Raw genomic sequence first — 21,283 nt, 5'->3', positions numbered from 1 at the left:
CAATATAGAATACTTGTACACTCCAAGGATCAGCAAACTTTCTGTAAAAGGTCAGATGATAAGTATTTTAGTCTTTGTTAGCCATGTGACCCCTGCCCCAACCACCCAGCTCTGCTGCTGTAGCGCAAAAGCAGCCATTGACAGTGTGAAAATGAGTGGAAATGACCGTATTCTAATAAAACTTTGCAAAAATGAGCAGCAGGCAGGATTCAGCCTGTGGGCCATTATTTGCTATCCCCTTCTCTAGCCTTTGTTAGACAAACTGTTAGTCTGTTCAGCTATCATCAAAAGCTGGGCTGAGAAAAGTGCTATTTATGGAATATGATAAGAAGGGCCCACTGTATGCAGTGGATCTAGAGCAGATTATAGATCTACTCTAAGTAATCTAAGTTATAAGAATCACTTTCTGGATCTGATTCCCTCATTTGTTTGTTAAAATTCTTTTTTTTCTTTTTGTATTAGGCAGGTAGACCTACTGCTGTAAGTCTGCTTTGTCTACAGTAGAAATGCCAAATAGGCTGGCATGGTGACTCATGCCTGTAATCCCACCTCTTTGGCAAGAGGATTCCTTGAGCCCAGGACTTCAAGGTTATAGTGAGCTATGATGCACTCCAGCCTAGGTGACAGAGTGAGACCCTGTCCCAGAAAGAAAATGCCCAGTAGGAAGAATGGCCTCCTATAGCTCCTGATTTCAAGGAAAGGGTGTCTCAATTCTAACGACCAATGAGGATTAGCTACATGGAAAAATACAAGCAGTGGATAAAGACAAGCTATTGAGCAAAACATGATAGAAATTCTCAGAAAGGCTTATCTTTGCTCTTTCTTGCCTCTTTATGTATCATTCTAGTCTCCAATTTTATTCAACTAATAGTTATTAAATGTCTGTTACGTGCAAGGCATGGTGCTATGCATTGTCTCCTGCGAATATCCTTCTATTAGAAAAAAATGCCTGATATAAATGATTGGTATCTGTTTTCCTGCCATATATAGTCCATTCCCTGGCATGTAGGAGATGCTCAATAAATATTTGTGGCTAAATTAATATCTCACATTATAAATCAATAAATTTCTTTTTTTTGGTAAATTGCTCTCCTGTGAATTCCATTATCATGCATCAGTGGATGAATTTTTAAATAAAACAAGCCATAGCTGATGTCTAACTGTGAGCCCAAGGTGATTCCAGATAGCCTGGGATGTCTAATGATTTTAACAAGATTACCAAATATCTTTTTCTTTCTCGTAGTGCCACATCCAGCACTTTAAGTTAAATAAATGCAATATAGGGATTTAGGAGAAAAGAAGTGAGGGCTAGAAACAGGCAACTATTTGCTGGCTAACAAAGCAGAACTTATATTTCTTTTTGAACACCTACTAAGTTCTTGTTTCTGATGTTGCACTAGAACTTTTTAAATGGAAATACTGTGAAATTGTAGTTATTTATATTTACAGATGCAAAACTGAATTGAAGAGAGATTAAGTAATTTATTTGAGGGAAGCCCTGATTGTCTCACTGTCTCTTTGTATCAGAAATAAAGTTGTGGTTTAGGAGACTGATAGTTAGCCTGGTGTCCTATTTCTTTCGTCTTAAGTAAGATTGTATATTCACTTGTATTATTTGTCATTTTCTCCCAATTGAGCGACTTCATTATTGTACCAGATGAACATGACTTTGTAAATAAGTCTTCATTCATTTTAAGCAGTAGTCATTTTTTATTTCACTGTAATCTATCTTTCTGAGATGCCAGCAATGACCTTTTAACCCCAGTTAGTATCAACTATCAATGTAAGCACATTTGACTGAAGAAACTAATTTTTAACTCTCTTATGTGCCAGGTACCATGTTGTTATCATCATCATTGCTAAGATTTATTGAATAAATACTAAGTGCCAGGCATTTACGTACGTTCTCTTATGTATTCCTCACAATACTCTGTGAGGAAGATCCCATTACTGTCCTCAGGGTGACTTTAGTGAGGAAACTAAAACTTGTGGGTAAGGTTAAATGTTTTGTAAAGTATCAGAGCAAGCTATGATATGAATTCAGTCTATCTAACACATTTACTTTTCACATCTCATTTAATCTCCCCAAAATGCTTCATGGTAGACTTATATTATAGCTGAGGTTATTACGAAAATAATAAATTGTACTAAACTAAGAAATGACCATATGCAGTGTTTTCCAAGCCTCTTTTAAAACCACGTTCTACAATGGAACATGCGTTTTACATTCCAGTCCAATATACAGGTACACATGTGTGTGACAGAAACAAAAATTGTGCCCTGTGATTTTTTTACTATCCTCTTTTTCATAATGGATCATGGCCTATAGCGTGAAAAGTGATGATATAATGTGATTCTGTCTTCAGTATATATTTTTAGTATGACAGTATGATATACAGTAAGCCAGAGTTTCTTCTCACTTTTTCTAGCCATTCCGTTCATTAACTTATTTAAAAATTACAAACATATCAAGTGTTTATTATGTCTCAGGTACAGTTCTAGTTCCCAGGACATACAAAGATGAGAATGATTCCGTCCTTGCCCTTGGATTCAAATGGGCAAGACAGACAAAATTATAATAACTTGTGGTAAGTCCTGTGCTATCTGTGTGAACAATGTGCTGTGGAAACAGGAGCAAGCAGCTGATTGCCCCAGTGGATATCTAAGAAAGGCTTCATTAAGGAGTGACTTATGAAATAGGTCATATGGAATGAATGAGAATATCCCAGGCATAAGAGAGAAGGGCATTCCTGACAGAATGAACTGCATATGCAAAGTCAGGGAGGTTTGAAAGCGTTGAACTTGTTCCAGCAACAGTAAGAAAGAAGTTTAGTGTAGCAAGAGTATAGGTATATATAGAGAAGTGAGGTGGAGCCCATTGAAGACCTATGCACCTTGCTAAGGAGGTTAGACTTTCTTCTTATATGGTGAGAAGCCCAGAGAGGTTCCGAATCTAGGATATGTAAGATAGGATATATGTGCTTTAGGATGACCATTCTGTCGGCTGTTTAAAGGATGGTGTGAAGAAAAGAGAGATTAGAGTTAGGAAATCCTTTGCATTGCTTCAAATGGGAAATAAGGACTTCAACTAAGACAGGAGTGATGGGTATGGAAAAGATGGTCTAGATTCCAGAGCTCAATTCCATTCAGTTTGTGGAACATTTACTGACATTTACCATATAGCAGGCTGCTAAACACTGTGATACAAAAAAAAAAAAAAAAAAAAAAAAAAAGAACAAGAACTGGTCTCTGATCTTGAGTTTTCTGTCTAGTGGGGAACAAAGACACACCAACAGGTCACTTCAGTATGATAATGGTTAAGTGTCATAATAAATAAAGGCTTGCAAAAGGTATGAAAGGAGCAAAGATGGGTTCATAACCTACACTAAGGTTCATAAAGCCTTCCTGAGAGGGAAACTTCCAAGCAGAATCAAGGAGAATGAATGGGAGCTGGCCAAGGGAAGCAAAGGGCAAGGACGTTGCAGGCAGAGGGCTGGGGAGAGTCTGCCTGAGGGTCAGGGAACCACCAGGAACTGCACGGAGTCTCTTGCTGCTTACCTCCATGTGGATGAGGAGTGACACGAAGGAGCCTGAGGTTGGAGTGGAAAGTTCACCTGTGTTCCTGTAGTGGAACTTGGGGATTCATATGGAGCCTCTAAGAAATGCTAAGGAAGCTTGGACTTTATCCTGTTGATGGTGGGGAGCCCACTGAAGTGTTTTAAAACATGAGGATGATGTGGGCAGCCTTGTGGCTTAGGTGGTTTATTCTGATAACGGATGAGATAATAGTAGCTCACTTTTCGTTGAATGCTTATAATGTGCCAAGCTGTGTTGTAAGCATTATGCATGTATCGCCTTGTTGAAACAACCCTGCTATTATTAGCCTCATTTCACAGGGAGGTTACTGACACACAGAGAGATTAAGTAACTTGCTCAGATTTACACAGGCAGTGGCAGAATGAGGACTTAATCCGCAGTGATCTGACTCTAACCCACAGTGATACTGCTAGGTAGGTAGATGTGAGAGAGTGGCTGGACTCTAGGGAAGAGAGGATGATGAGCTACTCTGCGGTAACAGAGAGAAGGTCACTGATGAGTCAGCTTGGGCTGCCACAGCAAAATACCACAGACTGGGCGGTGCAAGCAACAGAAATTTTCTCACAGCTCTGGAGGCTGGAAGTCCTCCAGGTGCTATCAGGATTGGGTTTTGGTGAGGACGCTCTTCTGGGCTATATATGGCCTTTTTTTTTTTTTTTTTTAAAGAGACTGGGTCTCATGCTGTCACCCAGGCTGGAGTGCAGAGGTGTGATCATAGCTTGCTGCAGCCTCAAATTCCTGGGCTCAAGCCATCCTCCTGCCTCAGCCTCCTGAGGAGCTGGGACCACAGGTGTGTACCACTGTGTCTGACTATTTTATTTTCTTGTAGAGATGGAGTCTCACTCTGTTGCCCAGGCTGGTCTCAGACTCCTCTCCTTGAGTGATCTTCCCACCTCAGCCTCCCAAAATACTGGGATTACAGGTGTGAGCCCCTGTGCCCAGCTCTAGTCTCTTCTTATAAGGACACTGATCCTATCAGATCAGGGCTCCACCTTTGACCTCACTGAACCTTAATTACTCCTTAGAGGTCACGTCTCTAAATACAGTCACATCAGGGATTAGGACATATGAATTTGGGGGAACACAAATATTCAGTCCATGACAGCGACAATTCTGGAGAGTATTTGAAGATAAAATCAGCACAAGTTGGTAATCGATTTGATGTGGGGAGTGAGGTGGAAGGAGGAGTTTAGGATGACTCTCAGGTTCTCACAAAGATGCAGAGGAGGGGCAAGCCTGTGGGGTGAATGAACAGCAGTTCGGTTGAGGTTACTGTAGTTCAGCACTTGGAAAGCTTCCAGGAGATAGTTGCGATGCTGATGTGGAGAGAGGCAGCGACGTGTGTGGATGGCAGTGGAAGCCACAGGCTGGGTCACATCACCTAGGGAAAACATGTAGAGTGAGAAGACATGTAGGACTGCCAAGATGGAAAAATATTTACGAGGCAAGCAGAAGAAAGCAAAGGGAGACTTAAGAAATAACATACCTTTATCCCTGAACCCAAAGGAAGAGAGAATTCCAGGCAACAGGGAGTGTTTGACACATTCTGCGGCCTCTTTGTATCAAATTTGTATTCTTAGGTGAGAAAAGGGAACAGGCTTAGAATCATAGCTTTTTATTGCCCAGTAGGACCAAAAGAGATGATTTTATAATTCTTTATTCTACAAACAAGGAAGCTGAAGCCCTGCAAAGCCTTGGGATTTGTCTCTTTCATGGTACAGGCAGGAGTAGAATTTAGGTCTCCCAAGCCATTTGACTTCAATCCAGCGCTTTTTACAATACATCAAATAAAATCCACCATTGTGGGGTTTGAAAATTGGGTCTATGTTATAAAAAAAATTACACTAAATGGAGAAAGAAGCATTCAAATTTTATTTGTATATGCATTTGGGGAGAGGAAGACATAGTATAGTATAGAAAATGTCAAAGACTTTGTCTCAGAGGAGAGAATACCAATGTTGGCCTTGATGGTGATGATGAGATTGACTAGTGGAAGAGGGCCTAGAGACAGGGATTCTGTCCTTACCATATTCACAGTGGAAATGGCATGTTACCAGCGGCTCCTGTTATGTCCTGAGCACACTTAAAACGAATTTTTTTTAGAGACAGGGTCTCACTCTGTTGCCCAGGCTGAGTGCAGTGGCTTACTGCAGCCTCAAACTCGTGAGCTCAAGGGATCTTCCTGCCTCAGCCCCTGGAATAGCTGGACTACAGGCAGGTGTCACCATGCACCTAAGCACACATTTTTAAATGTGACTCTGTCTTATGTTTTTTTCCTATCATTGACTAACCCCACATTAGATACATAGCAGTACTGTATTATTAGAAAATTAATTTTAAGTCAGTACCTTATTACAGGCTTGAAACTGACAAACTTCATTACTTGGGGAGAGGAGTGGGTTCTTTTACAGGATTTCAAAATTGCCTTCAGCCACGGAGACTCCCTTAAGTGAAAATTTCTGTCAGTAACAGACAGTTTATCTTAGAATTCAGTTAATGGAGTATGTATTGAGTATCTACTATAAATGAACCACGATGTTGAGCACTTCAGGAGGTATTAATGAATTGAACAGAGTCCCTATGTAAGACATGTATGGCCTGTTGCTAGAGTGAAGGAACAGCGTCATATGAACCTTTAGACTCACAAATATTTTAATGGGGTCAGCGTAGTCAATAGGGCCAGTACATCCTCATCAGTACTTACTGAAAATATGAGCTGACTTCGAGCTGTATTTCTCACTTTCAAATTTTAAAAAACACAAACTGAAGCAAGTTTAACCACCATCATGGTTTGTATGTTAATTGCTTTCTTGTTTTTACTAACTACATAAGCATGAACTTAATATAAAAGGCTACTATTTTTTCATTTTATAACTTTATGGCATGAAAATGTATACGCTGACACTTAAAATAATAAACATATGCACACCATGCAGATACTTTTACTCGGAGTTTATATTTTTGGTAGATTTTAATATATCAATTAAGATAAAATTATACAGAATAACTGATTCCCCAACAGACACATCTTTAGTACGAGGCCATTAATAGAATTTTTATGTAGTATATGCATATTACAAAGAGTACATTGTATGGAAAATAAACCAAGCTAGATTCCTGGATTCCTAGCATGGTTTATTTAATGCAAGTATTAAATTAAAAAGTCTGGTTAGCATGCAGTTAGCATCATAAAAAGAATTTCCACATATGACTATAGTAGTATACATTTCTGCAGTAAGGACAGCCCTCTACAAAATTATGAAGTATGTAGGTATCTTGGCACAACCCATAACATTTTTTATTCCAAATATGAGAATTCTTACCACTGAAGGCATTTCATGAAAAGTTGGATCCATAATTCTCCACTAGTCAAGACTTTCAGTAGAATGAGCACCTTATTACATTCATCTTTATTTTCCTATTTCCTAGCAGGGTCATGGAAATTAGCATATTCTCAATGAAAGTTGATAAATGAATGCATTCTGCTAAAAGTAAACATTGAGAAGAAATTTTTACCGTCGATTATGTTGCCATAGTGCTATTATCACAAGAGAATTCATTTAGCAACCATTTATTGAACATCATCTATGGTAGACAGTGTGTTAGCACTAGGAATACAGAACTTAATAAGATGAGCCTTCCAGCAGTGGGATTGGGCAACAGTGGATGCAAGAGGCAAAAGAACTTCAAACAGTTGTGATAAAGAGGAAAGATAGTAATGCTATCAGAGAAATATCTACAAACAAAATAGTGTTATGCTATTAGAAAAATACAGAGTGCTGTGGGAGCCCAGAAGAGAAATTAATTCCAGTTGGACGTAGGAGTGTTTGTCAGGATTTCATATGGGAAGTGGCTTTTGAGTTAAACTTTGAATATCTCACTGGCATCTTGGGCATCTCAAATCCACTGGGTCTATACTTGTGTTCATCATTTATTCATCATTTTCCCCTTCCACCCATTCATCCCCAGCTTGCATGTCTGATAGTCTTGAACATGATTATTGATATTGCCGTTCACTGCTGGGTCCTTCCTTTTAGAAAATGCTAGATTAGGCCGGGTGCGGTGGCTCACGCCTGTAATCCCAGCACTTTGGGAGGCTGAGTTGGGTAGATCACTTGAGACCAGGAGTTCCAGATCAGCCACGGCAACCTGGTGAAACCTCGTCTCTGCAAAAAATACCAAAAAAATTAGCTGGACGTGTTGGCGCATGCCTGTAGTCCCTGCTACTTGGGAGGCCGAGGTGGGAGGATCACCTAAGCCCATAAAGTTGAGGCTGCAGTGAGCCATGATCGTGCCATTGCACTCCCACCTGGGTGGCACAGTGAGACCCTTTCTCCAAAAAAAAAAAAAAAAAGAAAATGCTAGATTCATTTGACTCCTTTTCTTTCCTCTCCAGTATTTATTTGGTCACTTTAGTTATGTGAAGTTTTGAATAATTTCCAATTTTTTACAAATTATATGGTTTGTATGTAATGAAAAGCTTATCAAAAATGTTTCAGTTTATCAGTCTACTAATCAAATATTTTTAAACTTTTAAAATTATACACAGAAATGTGGTCCTATTTTGAAACAATTCTCTCATTTTTTTCACATTAAAAAGTTCAATTCTGATTTCTAAAAATCAGAAAATCATAAAGAATTTATTATGGAGAAGCTATCCTGGTGTACAATTATGACAGTATTTTTATTTTAAATGATACTGTCCTTCTAAGAATGTGTTTCTGTCAATTTGTCCTTATCTCTACAGAACCCTGAAATTGTAGCACTACTGTAGTGTTTCTAGAGAGTAATACGTTTCTGCTGCCATTTGGAGGAGCCTGCATCACAGAGTAATGAGTTGAGTCTGACTTACAAAGATGCCTCCTTTGCAATTCAGACCCCCCAGAAGAATTTGCAGTCAAATTCCTATAATTAATGAGTTGTGTCTTCTAGATTCCTTTAAGTACTACATCTAATGGAAGTTACAATTATAACTTAATTATTTTAAATAGTAGAGATTCTGATGGTGTGCTTACACCACTGAAACAAAAGATATTCTGAAAACTGAAAGTGAAACTGTCAGCCCTTGGCATCTGTAGTTAACAAACTACTCAAGAGTTTTGTTGCTAGATATCTAGATAATTGTGAGAATAAGCCAAGAGTGTGGGAGGCTTGCTTTGCTCTTCAGATGAAATGGCTTAAGTTTTGCCAAAATCCCTGAAGGGTAATCACGGTCTCTTTTAATCCCAAGTTTCAGATAATACCCACAAATAACTTATTCTTTAGAGTGGTCTTTGGAATTAGAGAAAGCAGAAATGTATTAAAATGTATTTCATTCACTTTGTTCCTGATCCTTACACCAGGGTCAACGGAGTCACTAAGAATTAGCAAAGTTCATTGGTAAGAGATTTACCCTTCTGATATCTTGCTCTGGTGAAATACTAGAAAAATGTCTTAAGAAGTAAAAGGCAGATGTGAGAGTTAAAGGAAATTTCAGTTAATTAGCAGAGTTGCATTAAAATAATCTTACCATGGATCATGAAGTCTTGAATTCTAAATTTGCCTTTGCTGGTATAATCCTAATTAGATATTTTACTTAATTTTTGAAATTTCATAATAAATAACCCAGCTTCTATCAACAAAATGAAGACTTTGCATTTAGAATTGCCTTCAAAATGCAATCAATTCCAATGTCATTACAAAATGTAACTGAACGGTCTCTGAGAGCTAAGTTGAACACTTTATCTCTGAGATGTCGTTGCATTCTATTGCAGTTATTTTCTGACATGTGTGGGGGAAGAAAGGTATTTCCTACTTTGAGCATTTATCAACACACTTACCCTGATACCCATGAACAGTCCCACCTCTGCCTGGCATTGTTTTATACTTGCTGTTGTCACATTCATTCTTCAAGTTTTAACTCAAAGTCAGTTCTTTGAAGTCATGCTTACTCTCCCATCATGAACTTGCAAAATTAGGCCTGAAGCTATTTTATTTGCTCCCAAGTAATATCTGCTATTCAGGTATATATCAACACAGAAATTGCCTCAGGTGTAGTCTCACAATGTAGACAACTGAGTTTATCATACACCAAATTTACTAAAAGCAAATATAAACATACTAATCCATTAAATTATTTTAATATATATACGAAACTCATTATAAGTGTAGGAACGTAAATATTATTATTATACTATAAAAATATAAAGTAATACTTCTAAAATACATATACTCTTCATTTGTTAATCTTCCTTAATCCTGAACTATTTTCATTTTCTGCTTAGGTAATCTTAGTTTTCTGTAGATTCAGATGGATTTAAATGTTTTTTGTAAACCTGCTTGTGGCTTCAAAACCACTAGGCACTATGCCAGCTATTAAAAGTAGATTTTTATTCTACAGCTTAATTGTCCATAATAAAACTTGGCCATTTAGGCTGGGTACGGTGGCTCACGCCTGTAATCCCAGCACTTTGGGAGGCTAAGGCGGGCAGATCACAAGGTCAGGAGTTCAAGACCAGCCTGGCCAGCATGGTGAAACCCCGTCTCTACTAAAAATAAAAAAAATTAGCCGGGCATGGTGGCACATGCCTGTAGTCCCAGCTACTTGGGAGGCTGAGGCAAGAGAATCACCTGAACCCGGGAGGCGGAGGTTGCAGTGAGCCAAGATTGCGCCACTGCACTCCAGCCTGGGCGAGAGAGCGAGACTCCATCTCGGAAAAAAAAAAAAAAAAAACCATTTTTTTGCTAATCCTGGAAGAGGACTTTCTCACACTCATATTACTTTTTTAAGTTGTCAAACTTTCTACATTGTTTCTTGTCTTACCAAAATCAAAATAAAACAATACAGAATAAAATGACTATATATATCACAAATTTTCTTGTGATTGTGCATTCCTAATCAGAATAAGATTTTTCTTCCACCTTCTAGCTACTCTTATTCTTTTAAATTTGAATTTATGAAAATATATGTAATGAATGCACACATTTATTCATGAGCCTGACTTTTGAACATGACTATTTTTAAAAGGCCTATGATACTATTTTTTGAGAATTGATTTATGTGAAAAATCTTACAAGAATATGAAAGTGAAAGCACATTAGGTAATATATTTAGAGAATTGCCTTTATTTAAGAAGAAGGAATTGCATGAAATTAGAACTCCCCCAGAAAATACAGAATATAGAACCATCATCTCTATGGAGTGTGGCCCTTATCTATTTAATGGTATCTTGGTAGAGTGCTTAACACAGGGGCACAAAAAGATGGCCATTTAATAATAGCTTTTAATAACCAGGAGATGAACTTCCTTTGATATGAAGAAGTAACCAACATTACGCTTTTATTCTCATTGTTCCTAAGGGTGTAGGAAGCAGAGCATTTAATACAGTGCTTAAACAAGAAAGCTGCACACAAAATCAGAAGTGTACCATGTAGAAAGATGATTTACAAAAGCTCAATTACATGAAGGATATGTAAGTAGACCCCTATGTGTCAGCGTGTGGATGCAAATTGATAAACACTTACTGAAATTGCTTGTCAGAAAGCTAAGCGATCATAAAGATGCAGAAGTTCAAAGTGAAAAAGTCATCTTAGACTAAGTAAAATGAGAATCCCGTTATGCATTAAGGCAGTTTTGCAATACCTAAAAGTTTTCACTAGCATTTGGAAAGTCATAAGTGAATTTTGTAGAGAATGAGAACTTGAATCATTATTACTTTCTTTCTTCTTTATTTTTAATAGAGAAAAGGTCTCGCTATGTTGACCAGGCTGGGCTTAAACTCCTGGCCTCAAGTGATCCACCCATCTTGGCCTTCCAAAGTGCTGGGAGTAACAGGCATGAGCCATTAGTGTACTTGTTTAAGCAGAGCGAGGCTTCCAGGCAATGCCTCAGACTTCTTTTTCCCTCCTACTCTCTCGTGAGTCATCAAAACCAGTGTGCTGTCCTTCACTTACAAAGAAATCGCTGTTGACCCATCAAGGGGGAATGCACTGGGTTTGTAATAATCTGTTCTGCTTTCTCTCGTCTTCCTCCTACCAAAGCCCATGCATTTACAAACTTCTAGGCAGGCTAGGGAACTGTTGCTGCTGGCTGTAGATCAGGATTGGCATCACCAGACCTAGAGATAAAATGCACGACCTCTAGCCTCATGAACACAAGCACTGATTCAGGTTATAAAGTATTTACATTTGATTTTGGTGTCTTAAAGCCTTCTTATTTACATTTTTTATCTAATCTTCCCACCTCTACAGTTTTCTGCTGCCTAGTAACTTATACTTCTGCTCTTTATCCATGAGAGCGCACTCTGGGAAAGGTGATATAGGAAAGAAGTTGATGTGATTAAGAGCAGGGGCTTTGGAAATCAGACTGAGTAGCTCGAGGCCTGGTTCTGCTACTTAGTAAATATGTCATCTCAGACAAGTGACGCACTTATGAACATTGTCTTCTCAGTGTTCTCATCTATAAAATGGGGATAATGCCTACCTCCCAGAATCCTGTAGAGGTTAAACAAGGTAATGTATTTAAGGTGCCTAGTACACTGCCTAGCATATACAAATGCATACTAGACAGCCAAAATGAAAAAGGAACTAGGCTTGTTTACACTAAGACTGGTGCATTTAACACAGGGATAATGTCTTAGCCCACAAAAATTCACTTTTTTGACAGGATATAAAGACATAATCTCTAGTTATGGAATGAGAAACAGTACACAGTTGGTGGAAAGAGGCCAAGTTTGAAATGGGCCTGTCCGAGCACTTTTATAATCATATAATTCATAGGTACATGCCTGTGTTGCTTAATGCAGAACTACAGACCTTTAACAACTTCTTTTTGCTACGTAAGACTTGGCTGTGTCCTAGGATGAAGGAGTCTAGCTCTGTCACCCAGGCTGGAGTGCAGTGGCATTCACTACAACCTCCACTTCCTGGGTTCAAGCGATTCTTCTGCCTCAGCCTCCTGAGTAACTGGGATTACAGATGCACACCACCATGCCCAACTAATTTTTATTTTTAATAGAGATGGGGTTTCACCATGTTGGCCTGGTTGGTCTCAAACTCCTGACCTCAAGTGATCTCCCCGCCTTAGCCTCCCAAAGTGCTGGGGTTATAGGTCTGAGCCACCACGCCTGGCCCTATTTTTATTTTTTTATACTGTGTATTAGAGTCCTAATACTGCCATTGCCATAACAAATGACACACAAACTTGGTGGCTTAAAACAACAGAAATTGATTCTTCACAGTCCTGGAGGCCAGAAGTTCTGGAGGCTGTGAGGGAGAAATCATCCCATGCATCTCTCCTGGCTTCTGGTTGTAGACAGTCCTTGGCATTCCTTGACTTGTAACTGCATCTATGCTTCCTGCTTCACAAGGCCCTCCCCTCTGTGTCTGTCTCACAGTTCCCTCTACCTTTCTTTTGTAAGGACAAATGTCATTGGATTTAGGGTCCATCCTAAATCAGGATGATCTTATCTCAAGATTCTTTATTACATTTACAAAGACCTTTTTTTCTTTTCTCCTGAGACAGGGAGTCTGACTCTGTCACCCAGGCTGGAGTGGGGTGACATGATCATAGCTCACTGCAGCCTTGAACTCCTTGGGCTTGAGCAGTCCTTCTGCCTCAGCCTCTCAAGTAGCTGGAACTTCAGGTGCATGCCACCACACCTAGCTAATTTTTTATTGCTTATAGAGACGGGGGTCTCAATATGTTGCCTGGGCTGTTCTTGAACTCCTGGGCTCCAACGATTCTCCCACCTTGGCTTCTCAAAGTTCTGGGACTACACATGCACACCACTGCACCTGGCCCCATTTTTCCAAATAAGGTTACATCCACAGTTTCCAGGGTTAACACATGGACATATCTTTTTGGGGGACCACCATTTGGCCCACTACACACTAGGTAAGAGAGAAGAACCAGAATCTGGAAAAATGGGAGGATGAGCTGGTATGGGAGACTATACATCCTGGAAGATTCCACCCAGGGGGAACACTAGAGCTTCACTGCCCGTATGTTGTCATGGGACCATTGAAATTAATTTTCTAGGTACAATTAATCAACTGCCCAATGGACGAGTCTTCATCTTTAGCTGCAGGAGCACAGCAGTTGGGATTTGCCTAATTGTCTTCTTCAAGTGTGTCAATGCTGTTTAGTTCCCAGGACTTGCTAACTACATTTGGGTAAAGAGCAAGCAAGAGAGCTAGAAGTTCCTTCATGTGGTGTGGGCCTGGGAGCCGTGATGGAGTGTTCTAACAAGAAAGAGCTGTAGAAGATTTCAGCAGCTATCAGTATGTTAGCCCCTCAGTTGCCTCACCACCAGCACCCTCTTTTCAGCAGGCATTTACTGGGCCTCAAGTGTGTGTGATTAGAAATTTGGTTAACAGGCTGGGCGCAGTGGTTCATGCCTGCAATCCCAGCACTTTGGGAGGCCGAGGCGGGCGGATCACGAGGTCAGGAGTTTAAGACTAGCCCGGCCAACATGGTGAAACCCCATCTCTACTAAAAGTACAAAAAAATTAGCTGGGTGTGGGGGTGCACACCTGTAATCCCAGCTACTCGGGAGACTGAGGCAGGAGAATTGCTTGAACCAGTACCCAGGAGGCGGAGGTTGCAGTGAACCAAGATCATGCCACTGCACTCCAGCCTGGTGACAGAGTGAGATTCATTCTCAAAAAAAAAAAAAAAAAAATTTGGTTAACAAGTGAAATCAGTGGTTAACAAGTTTTAAAATAAGGTTATATTCTGGACATTTTTGGTTTTTCTTTGAATGGAGCACTGGAAATTGACTACAGGGGCTGAAAAAGGAAAGACTAAAGAAATCATCTAATTTTATTCACCACAGTAGTTTGACTTGTGACCACAGAAAGAACAGTGCTAATACCAGGGCAATTTGCCTGATTCTTGAAACTAGTAACTGTGCCTAAAATAGTTTGGAATGGTAGTTAGCTCGAGAAAATCCAGAGTGGTAGAGAACTGTGACTTTAGGATAAATTTTTCTACCAACTTGCATAGCAAGCTCCCCACCAAAGCAGTGAGTATTGCACAAATTTTTTTAAATCAAAACTCGTGTTCATCAAATCTCTAAACCAAGATATCCTCCACATTAGTTACTACATGATTCCTTTTCGCATTTGTGGTTCTTATCACAGTTTCTATTTAGGTGATGTTTAATTAGCCAATTATTTCAAATATTTCATCACTGCTTACCTTTTAAGGTGCTTTAATTGATTTTTATAAAGACCAAAATTTTGAGGAAGCAAATGACATGATCTAAATGCTGGCTTGGGTGGGTACAATCTCTTTGTTATATAGAATAACTTCTTATTGTCATGGTAAGAAGAGATGAGAATTAAATGCATGGTTTCAAGGAGAAAAATTTGTGGGTATAAATTGGATCGAGATATCATTGCTTCAGAGCAAGGGTCAGCAAACCCAGCCCACTGCCTGTTTCTATATGGCCTACAGGCTAAAAATGGTTGTTACATCTTTAAAAGGTTGGGAAAAAATCAAAAGAATATTTCATGACACATGAAAAGTTTATGAAATTCAAATTTCAGGGTCCACAAATAAAGTTTTTTTGGAACACACCTATTCATGTATGTATTGTGGAGGGTTGCTTTTGCCCTACAGTGGCAGAGTTTATAGCTGGAACAGAAACCATATGTGGCCCAGAAACTCTAAAACATTTACTCTCTGGCCCCTTACAGAAAAAGTTTGCCGACCACTGCTGTAGAGCATGTGTTTGATAAAATTGCTGATTTTTGAAACTTAGTACTGTATAATGAGAACTTGAGCGTGTCCCCTTAAGTTCTAGTTTCACCTGAGGAAAGTAGGGACTCACTGTATCAAATATTAATGGCAAAACCACAATTACTTTGCACCAAACTTAGTAGCAGCCAAGCTTCCCTTCTGCGCACCAAGGGTGGAGTACAAGCCCTTGTCAGCTGGGCGATGCTCCATGGTACTCAGAAAATGGCCCATAACCAAACGGGCCAGGCAGGTAAACCACAGTCTGAATAGGACCCTGCCACCAGCACCACTGACAGACATCCAGTGCCACCAGTGCTGGAAATTATTTCTAAGTTGTCCTTGCATCTTTGCAACATAATCTCAAGGGTTGTGGTCCTGGAAAGAATTTTCTGGTTGACCACAGTGCCCAAACCTGCTTGTTACAGATAGTAGGGAAGTGAGGTAGACACTTAACTCACTCTTAATTTGCTGCTTTTCAGCTCATCCCTCCCATTATGATGCACAAAGAGATCTCACTTAAATGAGAAGCACTCCTAGGCAGCCAGAGAGTAAATATCAGACATCTTTTTTGCTTCTTTAAGTGTGGTCCATGGACCAGCAGCATCAGTGCCCTCTGGAAGCATATCAGACATGCAGACCCAGACCTAACCTAATCAGAATTTGCATTTTAACAAGATCTCCAGGTGATTTGCTTATGCGTTAAAAATTGACAAGCAACACAAATGAAGTTCTAATTTGGCAGGATTTCAGGCAGTATTATGAAGTGACAGGAAATATTTAGGCAGTTTGGGCACATATATTTTTGGCCCTGGGAGGTTACCTATAAGCATGACAGATCTGCCTGACAATCTATGCCCCTGAGTAATGCCTGCTTTTTACAATTTCTTTCTTTCTTAAGCCCTCAGATTTAGAACCTCCAAAATTATAGCATTCCCCTTGACAGCTCACTAGGAGTCCTGATGGTAAAAGTGGGCGGTGAGACAGTGACCATCTAGATGTGTGGGTTGTTTGTAAATAACAGCTTGCCTGTGTAGGTCACAGAGCCAAAAATTATTTTAAAAGGACAAAGGTGAGTTATTGACCTCTAATATAAATTCAAAAATGGAAGCTTGATATGAACCTGGTCACACTTGGATTCAAATCTTAGCTCTGTCTCTTATTTTGTGATTTTTATATAACTTACATAACCTTCCTGAGCCCGAATGTTCTCATCTCTAAAACGGGGTTAATAATTTAAGAGATAATCTATGTAAAGGACGTACCATAGTGCCCAGCCAGGACTATGTACTTCATTAATTGTAGCTATCATGTGTTTTAATTTGCTGCATTAGGAGACCATGGTTCTTTATGCTTTAGTTCACTAAAGTGTTACACATTATCAACTCATTTTGCAGTGGGATTGTTAGAACCACTAATGCTGAATGGTCTATGTTGAGTTTTAGAATTACCGATTCTTAGACATTCAACTTCTCTTTCTGCCTCCAGTTTCTGTACTATGAGGCATCATAGAGTACAGTTGTTTATATCATGAGGTTAATTTGAAAAATTGCAATCATGAATGTTGGAGAGATAAAAGTACATATTTGAAAAACTGCTGAATCCACTAAAGATATTCTTTAAATATGACTTCTGGAATATTGCCACTAGTGGCCACAATAGAAAAATCTCAGCAGAACCTTTCATAAGACAGAAGTGATTACTTTTAGGTATTATAAACCTTCTAAAATTTACTTCCAACAGTCTTTAGTGGTAAAGGTAAACAGATCTCTCCAAGCACAGGGCAGCGGTTTGTTTGTTTGTTTGTTTGTTTTTTGAGACTGAGTCTCTCTCTCTCTGTTGCCCAGGCTGGAGTGCAGTGGTGTATTCTCAGCTCATTGCAACCTCTGCCTCCTGGGTTCAAATGATTCTTGTGCCTCAGCCTCCCGAGTCAGCCTCCCGAGTAGCTGGGACTGCAGGCATAAGCCACCAAAACCCAGCTAAATTTTTTTTTTTTTTTTTTTTTTTGCATTTTTAGTAGAGCCGGGTTTTTGCCATGTTGCCCAGCCTGGTCTTGAACTCCTGGGCTCAAGCAATCCGCTCACCGCGGCCTCCCAGAGTGCTGGGATTACAGGCATGAGCCACTGCACGTGGCTCATGGTTAGTTTCTTAATCATGTCCTATAACTGATCATTTGTCCACTTTTCATTTGAGAATATATCACCTTTTAATATTGATTCCAAAAAAATATGAATTGAAATTATTTTCACAGCTAAAATGTTTTGGCCACCATGCCCACGAAGTTATTAAAATAAATTATTTATTGAAAAGCAAGATAGGTTTCCCATTTACCATTTTAATTTTTATTGTCTTGTAAATTAAAGAACACAGTTATAAAGTAGAGACCCAGCTAATAAAGCTTAAACAAGTTGTTAATAAATGAACTGGGTGCATAAAATCCTTAAACCACATCTTCATTAGCAATGAGGCATCTTTATCCTCAATTGATTAAACGTTTCACTCACATAACAGTTTTGCCAAAGACACCTCTAACATGAAGGTCCTAGGTTACTTCTAACTAGAATCTAAATATAGAACTGCAGAAAAATAATTGTGCTAGCCTTTGAAGTGCATGGCTGTAATGTACCAAAAGAAAGAAATGGGCTTTTAATTTTTATTTGATGTATTTTTTTGAGACAGAGTCTCTCTCAGTGTGTTGCGCAGGCTGGAGTGCAGTGGCACAGTCACAGCACGCTGCAGCCTCAACCTGCTTGGGCTCAAGTGATCCTCCCACCTCAGCTTCCTGAGGAGCTGGGACTACAGGTGTCTGCCACCACACCCAGCTAATTTTAAAATTTTTTAGAGAGATGGGATCTTGCTATGTTGCCCAGGCTGCTGTCAAACTCCTGGAGTTAAGTGATCCTCCTGCCTCAGCCTCCCAAAGTGCCAGGATTACAGGTGTGAGCCACTGCGCCCAGCCACAGCAATGTTTTATTAATAATAGCCAAGCAATGTTATCACTCCTGGCCAGGCAATATAGGGAACACTCTGTCAGAAATAAAATGTGTGGGGATTTTACCCCATTGTTTGAACAGAGAACATCTAGATGCTTCTATAAATGCAGAAATCGATTTGACCTCGAAGCAGAGCTTCCTTGTTCTAGTAAAACTTGCCTGAGTAATTGGCCTTAGAATTACTGGTTGTAATTCCTGCTGTAGACTAGTAAACTCTACTGTTAACAGTACTTGAGGCTTAAAGCCCTGTGCTCTGGAGGCTGACATTTTTTTTACCCCCCAAACCATGTAGAACATACATCGCAGACCTGGCTCTTACATGGCATCGCCATTAACACTTGGTCTACTTCCTTCCTTCTTAGTGCTAATCCTTTATGGTTTGCTGATCTTGTGCCTTCCATAAACCATCTTAACCCTTTGGGAACACACTAGTTCAGATAATAACAGAGGAAACCAGAATCTTTCCCCCTGATTGGCTAGTTATCAAGGCCAAGCGTCTGCCATTGTAATAGTAATACCGTACCGTCTCCAACCAACCCAGCGCCAATTCTATCAGCTTCAGATGTGTTGGCCATGCCCTGACCTCAGTGTCTCTAAGAATGAAGTCTTTGTACCTCTTAGATTCGTAGCCCTGTCACTGGTGTGGAACTGCTTTTCTTTTTCACTATTGGAAATGGATAATTTATACTTCTATTATGTGAAATCGTTCTTGAGAAATATTTATTGTCACTATATAAACTTCTGTATAACAAAAATACTGTAATATAAAAGTAAGTTGATATATAATTTAATTCATATACTTTTCATATAAGAGTACTTTATAGTCATTTACATGGAATTTTATATGTCAACAAGTTTATATATAAATTTTATAAACCTGAGTATTTTATAGTGGTTCTATATAATTTTATATATAAATTTACTTCTATATGAGAGAGTATTTCTTACACAGAAATTTATACAGTGAGAATAAATACATCTTTTTTTTTTTTTTTTGAGACTGAGTCTAGCTCTGTTGCCCAGGCTGGAGTACAGTGGTGCGACCTTGGCTCACTGCAACCTCTGCCTCCTGGGTTCAAGCGATTCTCCTGCCTCAGCCTCCCTAGTAGCTGGGATTACAGGCTTTTGTTTTTAGTAGAGGTGGGATTTTGCCATGTTGACCAGGCCAGTCATGAACTCCTGACCTCAGGTGATCCGCCTGCCTTGGCCTCCCAAAGTGCTTAGATTACAGGCGTGAGCCACTGCGCCCGGCCAAGTATATCACAACTTCTGTATAAGACACTCTTTTCTCTGACTCCATCATTAACCAGGGAGATGATGCAGTCCTTTACCTGATTATATCTCCACATTCACTCAGAAGTTGGGGGACCAGTTGCTGATGTTTTCACTGTCCTTCTGGCCCCTCCCTCATGTCTGCATTTCCTGTGGATGGGATTTTCCTCTCTCATTTCAGTAAATTCCACTATCTTGATGATCCGCTTTGTCTTCTGTCTTCCAGGTCTGTGAACTCCATCCCAGCAGCATTTAAATCATGCTTATGTATTTCAGTCTTAAAGAAAACCTCTTGCTTAGCCACAAATTCCTTTCTGGCGACTCCCCTTTATTTCTAACTATGCCTCTTCAGTGTCTCAGAAGAGTGGTCTGCCCTCTGCTTCCACTCTTACACTTCTCTCTCCTCAGTCTTCAACCCAGTGTCATCTGTCATCGTTCCTACTACTTCACTGACTTTTTTTCTCGCAACAGGGTCTTTCTTTGTCACCAATTGGCTGACTACTTGGCAGCAGTGTCCTTCCTTTAAGAACATCTTCTGCCTCTTCTCCGAGTCCACCATCCTACCTCTCTCATGACAGCTGCTCAGGCTCCTTTGCAAGCCTCTCTTCTTGTGTTGTCACCACAGCCCCACTTAATGTCTGTGTTCCTGGGGAACTTCTCCTATTCTTTCTTCTTTTCTCATTTGACACACACAAGCTAGGTGATCTCAGCTACCTCCATGATCTTAATACCATCAGGTAGAGTTGCCTCTTCCTCCTGAGCTCCAGACTAGAAAGTCACTGTTGACCATTCCCTCCTTTCTGAAAATACTGCCGTCTATTGGCTGCCCTAATTCCAGAATCAGGTTTTCCTCCTACTTTTTTTTACCAAATGTGTCTCAGTCTTCTGAAATCTGTCACTCTCCTGCTTAGAGCCCTTCTGTTGTTGGAATTCAGTATGAATTATAAATCCAGGGGGTACCTGGCTCCCACCGTGGTGCTTCCCTCCTTGCACTAGCTCCAGCTATCCTCATCTGACTCTTCTTTCATTTCTACAGACTTCGCTCTGTTATCTTATGCTGTTGGAGAAAAAAAAAAAAACATATATAACCTGTAGCCAGTTCTGATTTATGAACTCCAGCCTCTACTGGTCTAAGAAGTTATTTCAAATGTCCATCGCTCTTCAACCCATCAGTATTGTCACCTTTCTCATGTCAGTTGACTTTGCCATCTCCTTCATGGAAAAAGAAAAAAGTGAGCCTATCATGCTAGAATTTTCTGAGCCTCTTCTTTAACACTTAGAAATTTATCTCCATGGGAACCTATCCTTTCTTCTTTATTCTCTGTCCTAGGATAGGAAATATGCTCCTACCTCTTTAAGCCCAACCCCAAGCCTTCCCAAATCTTGAGGCGTGCGTTTTAACTTCTCTATTGATATCGGCCTTTGTCTGAAGTGGTTTCATGCAACGTTACACCTTTATACTCCTTGGGAGGAAAAACAGCCCCTCGACTCCACATTTCCTTCTAGCTACTGACCTAATTCTCCTAACCTTCAGATTTGAGCTTCTTGAAAGAGTAGCTTATAATGGGGTATCCCTACTTCCTTATGCCTGCTTGATGACTCAACCCACTGCAGTTAGCTTCTGCTCCCTGATGGAATTGTTCTCGCTAAGGCTACCGATAAGCTTCATATTTGCCAAAACCAAAGGCTGATTTTTAACCTT

The 21,283-nt window shown here is 39.8% G+C and overlaps 1 protein-coding gene across 2 annotated transcripts in view, besides 3 other annotated features; it reads left to right on the top strand.

The window, feature by feature from the left end:
- The window catches only part of HMGB1 (high mobility group box 1), a 160,894-nt gene that overhangs the window by 35,996 nt on the left and 103,615 nt on the right, over window positions 1–21,283 (top strand).
- Window positions 3,803–3,862: a silencer, noted in NCBI's record as "silent region_5235". NCBI's record gives its function as "represses an Ori minimal core promoter by ATAC-STARR-seq in GM12878 lymphoblastoid cells {active_cell/tissue: GM12878}" and the evidence as "EXISTENCE:reporter gene assay evidence [ECO:0000049][PMID:35858748]".
- Window positions 4,083–4,162: an enhancer, noted in NCBI's record as "active region_7536". NCBI's record gives its function as "activates an Ori minimal core promoter by ATAC-STARR-seq in GM12878 lymphoblastoid cells {active_cell/tissue: GM12878}" and the evidence as "EXISTENCE:reporter gene assay evidence [ECO:0000049][PMID:35858748]".
- Window positions 11,416–11,710: a silencer, noted in NCBI's record as "tiled region #3331; HepG2 Repressive DNase matched - State 9:DNaseU, and K562 Repressive non-DNase unmatched - State 9:DNaseU". NCBI's record gives its function as "represses a minimal TATA promoter and a strong SV40 promoter by Sharpr-MPRA in HepG2 and K562 cells {active_cell/tissue: HepG2 | K562}" and the evidence as "EXISTENCE:reporter gene assay evidence [ECO:0000049][PMID:27701403]".

Source organism: Homo sapiens, chromosome 13, assembly GCF_000001405.40.
Source record: "Homo sapiens chromosome 13, GRCh38.p14 Primary Assembly".
In the NCBI taxonomy this organism is placed as follows: Eukaryota; Metazoa; Chordata; class Mammalia; order Primates; family Hominidae; genus Homo; species Homo sapiens.
Note: the sequence above shows the minus strand (reverse complement) of the source record. Positions and strands in the feature narration are given on the sequence as shown.